Source organism: Homo sapiens, chromosome 19, assembly GCF_000001405.40.
Source record: "Homo sapiens chromosome 19, GRCh38.p14 Primary Assembly".
Taxonomy (NCBI): Eukaryota; Metazoa; Chordata; class Mammalia; order Primates; family Hominidae; genus Homo; species Homo sapiens.
In genome coordinates, this window is record NC_000019.10 from 52,612,324 (window position 1) to 52,618,337 (window position 6,014).

A 6,014-nucleotide genomic window follows, 5' to 3' on the forward strand; every position below is an offset into this window, starting at 1 on the left:
TTTTTAATGAACCCTGAGGATGCATCTTAGATTAGTAACCTTTCCAGATTCACTACATTTGCCTGGTTTTTATTGAGTGGATCTCTCACGACAAAATCATGAATATTACACTGAAAGGCTTATTACATTATCTTTGTGTAGTTACTCTCCAGTATAAACCCTGTGATGTTCCGGTTTTGATGCCTGGGTAAAAGCTTAAGCATGCACGTTACATTTGTATGGTTTCATCAAAAAAGTTTTTGATGCCTAGTGAGACTTTGGCCTGCGGAAAATCTCTATCACATATAATTATTATAAATGCTCTTTAGTATGGATTCTCTGATGTTGATGAATGTTTGAAGTCATAATGGTTTCCCACTCTCAGTGTTTTTGTTTCTCTCAAGCATGAATTTTTGCAATATTGTACAATGTGAGAATTGTGCCAGAAGACCTTGCCACATTCATTACATTTGTTAGGTTTCTCACCAGCAAGAATTCTTTGAAGAATCCTGGTCTCAGATTTTACCTTAAGACCTTGCCACATTCAGTACATTAGTAAAGTTTCTGTCCTCTATGGTCTAGCTAACGGTTATTAAGCCTTGAACAAAAACTAAAGGCTCTGCTACATTCATTATACTTGCAAAGTTTTTCTCCAGTATAAATTATTGTATGTCTTACAAGGCTTTAATGCTAACTGAACACTCTGCCACATTAATTACATGTGTTAGATTTCTTTCCGGCATGAAATCTCTGATGACGTACAAGATATGAATTGTCGCGGAAGAGTTTGCCACATTCATTACATTTGAAATGTTTCTCTCCAGTGTGGATCGCATGATGATTAGTGAGGCTTGAACGCATACTAAAAGCTTTGCCACATTCATTACATTTGAAAGGTTTCTCTCCAGTGTGAATTTTCCGATGATGTGCTAGGGATGAGTTTAGACCGAAGACCTTCCCACATTCATTACATTTATAAGCTTTTTCTCCAGTATGAATTCTCCAATGATATGCAAGGTATGAATTTTGACTGAAGACTTTGCCACATTCATCACATTTGTAAGGTTTCTCTCCAGTATGGATTCTGTGATGTTGTACAAGATGTGAATTTTGACTGAATGCTTTGTCACATTCATCACACTTATAAGGTTTCTCACCGGCATGAATTATCAGATGTTGGGCAAGGTATGAATTGCGACTGAAGACCTTGCCACATTCATTACATTTGTAAGGTTTCTCTCCAGTGTGGATTCTCCAGTGATTTACTAGGGATGACTTGTGACTGAAGACCTTGCCACACTCATTACATTTGTAAGGTTTCTCTCCAGTATGAATTCTCCAGTGATTTACTAGGGATGACTTGTGACTGAAGACCTTGCCACACTCATTACATTTGTAAGGTTTCTCTCCAGTGTGGATTCTCTGATGTTGTGCAAGGTGTGAAATATGATGGAAGACCTTTCCACATACATTACATCTGTAAGGTTTCTCTCCAGTATGAATGATCAGATGTTGTACAAGGTAGGAATTGCGACTGAACACCTTGCCACATTTGTTACATTCGTAAGGTTTTTCTCCAGTATGAATTGTCCGATGTTGTGCAAGGTGTGAAATTTGATGGAAGACCTTTCCACATTCATTACATTTATAAGGTTTCTCTCCGGTATGAATTCTTTGATGTTGTGCAAGGTGTGAAATTTGATTAAAGACCTTGCCACATTCATTACATTTATATGGTTTCTCTCCAGTATGAATCCTGCGATGCTGTGCAAGGTGTGACATATTATGGAAGACCTTGCCACATTCATTACATTTATATGGCTTCTCTCCAGTATGAATTCTTTGATGACTTGCAAGGTTTGATTTTTTATTGAAGATCTTGCCACATATATCACATTTAAATTGCGTCTCTTTAGTATGGATTATTTGATGTATAGTAAAATGTAAGCCTTGATGAAAGGCCTTGCCACGCTCACTACATTTGTAGTGTTCTGTCCCAATATTTGCTTTCTCTTTTTGTGTGAATAATGAATCCACAAAATTACATTCATATGTATGAGAAATGTGGGTTTTGACAGTAGAAGAAATACGTTGGGGTGGGGAAACTAAGGAACTACTGTTGACAGATTTTTCCATGTGATCATATTTATATATTTTCCCTTCAGCTTGAAATAGCTGCAGTTCTGGTAGATGTGACTGCGGGTTTAATCCAAGCTGATTTTTAACAGGCTGCTTTTGTGCATCATCCTTTCTCCCATGCATGTCTCTTCTACCAATGAGACTTTCCTTATAGGTCACACGCACTCGCTTATAATGTCTTCAATCATGTTTCCACAGACACTGAGAGTCATGTACATTTTTCTGGGTTTCTCTGAAGCAAAAATCTTGTATGTCGTGGCTTTCATGTCTTTCCAACATTACTGTCTGGAATATTTCTCCTGTATTACTCTCCTTTTTTGGTGGTAATTCCTTGATCTCACATTTAGAAAAAATACCTACAAGATATAAGGATCCCACAGTTTCCAATTAATTACAGATAGTCAATAAATATCTCCTATTGAAATGTGTAATAGTACACTAAGAGTAATACTTATGTTAAAGAAAGTTATAAAACTCCCATTCATGATTTTTAACTTTTTGGAAAACAAAAGGAACAGATATTTTCTAATAGAGAAAGGGTGACTGCACATAATTCAAACTAATTGCAGAAAAGCCTAGTATAAAGAAACCTATGGCCAAACCACTTACATTGCAAAAATTTAGGTTAGCTCCCCAAAATTGAGATTTTTTCCAACATGAAGCCTGAGCATACTGCAATAGAAGGAAAACATATGGCTGTCTAATAGTTGAAAGAATTTTGTACTTAAGAAATTTATTGACTAAGGTCAGAGAAAACATTCTTTGGAGCAAACTGAAAAATAAAAAGGTATACAACACAACGAAGGCACCCATGGCCTAAATGTTTGCACTGACCAAAAGATCCTATTCCCCAATATTATGTTATTGCAAGTGGGGACATTGGGCAACAATTAGGCCATGAGGAGGAAGGGAGGAAGCTCTCATGAACAGGATTAGTGCCTGTATAAGAAAAACCACTAGAGTACTTGCTTCCTCTCACTCTGACATATGATAGACACAGCAAGAAGCAGGTTGGGGCCAGGTGCGGTGGCTCATGCCTTTAATCTCAGCAACTGGGGAGGCCACGGTGAGTGAATCATCTGAGGTCAGGAGTTCCAGACCAGCCTGACCAACATGATTAAACCCTGTCTCTACTAAAAATACAAAAATTAGCAAAACTCCATCTCAAAAAAAAAGCAGACTGGGGTAAAATAGAAAGAAGGCACCACCCAGGAAGTGTTTTTATGCATTTTGATCTTGGACTTCACTGCTTACAGGTTTATGAGAAATTATTTCCTGAAGTTTAGGATGTAAGCATCTCAGTCTACAGTATTTCTTATGGCAGGCTGATGTGGTTAAGACATGAAAAGTTAGATGGATGAAAAGGTCCATCTAATGAACATGACAGAGACTGATAAATCTTTTTTTTCTTTTTGAGACGAAGTCTCACTCTTGTGCCCCAGGCTGGAGTGCAATGGCACGACCTCGGCTCGCTGCAACCTCCGCCACACGAGTTCAAGCGATTCTCCTGCCTCAGCCTCCTGAGTAGCTGGGATTACAGGCGACTGCCACCATGCCCAGCTAACTTTTGTATTTTAATAGAGACGGGGCTTCACCAAGTTGGCCAGGCTGGTCTCGAACTCCTGACCTTAGGTGATCCACCCACCTTGGGCTCCCAAAGTGCTGGGATTTCAGGTGTGAGCCACTGCGCCCAGCCAAATCTTTTCTTAAATAAAGTAACTTTTCCATCTTTACAAAAACTTCAATATTCCTAGCCGTCTACCAACACCAACTTGCCAAAAGAAACTTGGAGTAAATTATTGCTTTTCAAATAGAGTAGGTCCACCAATTTACACTGCAAGTAAGTGAGGTCAATGGGATTTGATCTTGGGCTGCAGATCCAGACATTTCTTAAAAGTGGATGCAGTATTGACCCAGCAATCCCATTACTGGGTATATACCCAAAGGATTATAAATCATTTTACTATAAAGGCACATGCACATGTATGTTTCTTGCAGCAATATTTACAATAGCAAAGACTTAGAACCAACCCAAATGCCCATCAAGGATATACTGGATAAAGAAAATGTGGCACATATACTGCATGGAATACTATGCAGCCATAAAAAAGAACGAGGTTGGCAGGACACAGTGGCTCACACCTGTAATCCCAGCACTTTGGGAGGCTGAGGTGGGCGGATCACCTGAGGTCGGGAGTTGGAGACCAGCCTGATCAACATGGTGAAACCCCGTCTCTACTAAAAATACAAAATTAGCCGGGCATGGTGGCGCATACCTGTAATTCCAGCAACTTCTGAGGCTGAGGCGGGAGAATCGCTTGAACCCGGGAGGCGGAGGTGGTGGTGAGCCGAGATTGTGCCACTGCACTCCAGCCTGGGCAACAAGAGCAAAAACTCCATCTCGGAAAAAGAAAAAAAAGAATGAGATCATGTCCTTTGTAGGGACATGGATGGAGCTGGAAGCCATCGTTCTCAGCAAACTAACACAGGAACAGAAAACCAAACACCGCATGTTCTCACTCATAAGTGGGAGTTGAACGATTAGAACACATGGTCACAGGGAGGGAAGCAACATAGAGCAGGGCCTATCAGGGGGTAGGGGGCAAGGGGAGGGAGAACATTGGGAAAGATACCTAATGCATGCAGGGCTTAAAACCTAGATGATGGGTTGATGGGTGCAGCAAACCACCACGGCACACATATACCCACACGACAAACCTGCACAACACGACACGACATGGCAAATAGATGCATAGAAAGGAATCATTTCAAGGGAGCTACAAGAACGGGGTTGTGTTGCTGACCATGTCACTTGGTAATCCTTCCTAGACAGCGGTATGTCCACCATCGTACAGAGCAGACATCGGTTTAGGCTGTGTTCTGAGAAAGCCGTCCTACAGATAAGCAAGTGTCTTTCCTTACATGGTGAGAGTAGCATGGGGACTGAGTACTGTGGATATTGAGGTGGTCAGAAATACAAAGATTAATATGTTAAGAAGTGACAGTAGGCCGGGAGCAGTGGCTCATGCCTGTAATCCCAACACTTTGGGAGGCCCAGGCAGGTGGATCACCTGAAGTCAGGAGTTCAAACACAGCCTGGCCAACATGGTGAAACCCTGTCTCTACTAAAAATACAAAAATTAGCTGGGCATGGTGGCATGTGACTGCAGTCCCAGCTACTTGGGAGGCTGAGGCAGGAGAATTGCTTGAACCCCAGAGGTGGAGGTTACAGTGAACCGAGATCGTGTCACTGCACTCCAGCCTGGGCAACAGAGTGAGATTGTCTCAAAAAAAAAAAAAAAAAAAAAAAAAAAATTCCCACCCATCTTATTTTCACTTCATGCTACACAGTCCAGGGCTCTTTGCCTTGCTCCAACAGGTTAGAAAGAGACTCCTGCTTATAAAAAGTAGGAAACATGACATGTTGGAAGTTTTCTAGATCCCCAGCCCTATGTTTCTGTAGGAAAGAAGACATTACAGATGGACTTAGGAAAATATCTCACAAATTCCTCCACTGACTGCCTCCTTCTGAATCTTTAAAGAGCACTGTAATATGTGGACACTGAGCTCTCTTCCCAGAACTACTGAATCAAAAGCACAGGAGTAGCAAATAGGGAACTGGATATCTTTAAAGTCTGCCATGAGGTTTTGTTTTGTTTTTGTTTTTTGAGACAGAATCTTGCTCTGTTACCCGGGCTGGAGTGCAGTCATGCATTCTCGGCTCACTGCAACCATTGCCTCCCAGGTTCAGGTGATAATCTTACCTTAGCCTTTCTAGTACCTGGGATTACAGACATGTGCCATCACGCCTGGATAATTTTTGTGTTTTTTTTTTTTTGAGATGGAGCCTGGCTGTCTCCCAGGCTAGAGTGCAGTGGCACGATCTCAGCTCACTG

At 41.1% G+C, this 6,014-nt stretch overlaps 1 protein-coding gene and 1 long non-coding RNA gene across 21 annotated transcripts in view; one reads left to right on the forward strand and one right to left on the reverse strand.

The window, feature by feature from the left end:
• Window positions 1-6,014, forward strand: part of LOC137778871 (uncharacterized) — a 34,279-nt gene that overhangs the window by 11,023 nt on the left and 17,242 nt on the right. The window lies entirely within an intron of this gene.
• Window positions 54-6,014, reverse strand: part of ZNF83 (zinc finger protein 83) — a 78,120-nt gene continuing 72,159 nt past the window's right edge. For 12 of the 17 annotated variants that reach the window (NM_001277948.2, NM_001277946.2, NM_001277949.2 and 9 more), the window contains one exon: window positions 54-2,474. In NM_001277948.2, coding sequence (NP_001264877.1) covers window positions 691-2,241 — 1,551 coding nt within the window. In that variant the 5' untranslated portion in view covers window positions 2,242-2,474 and the 3' untranslated portion in view covers window positions 54-690. Of the gene's footprint in view, window positions 2,475-4,394; window positions 4,519-4,922; window positions 5,013-6,014 lie in introns of all 17 variants that reach the window. The other 5 variants (NM_001348015.2, NM_001105551.2, NM_001105549.2 and 2 more) reach the window with 4 other exon arrangements.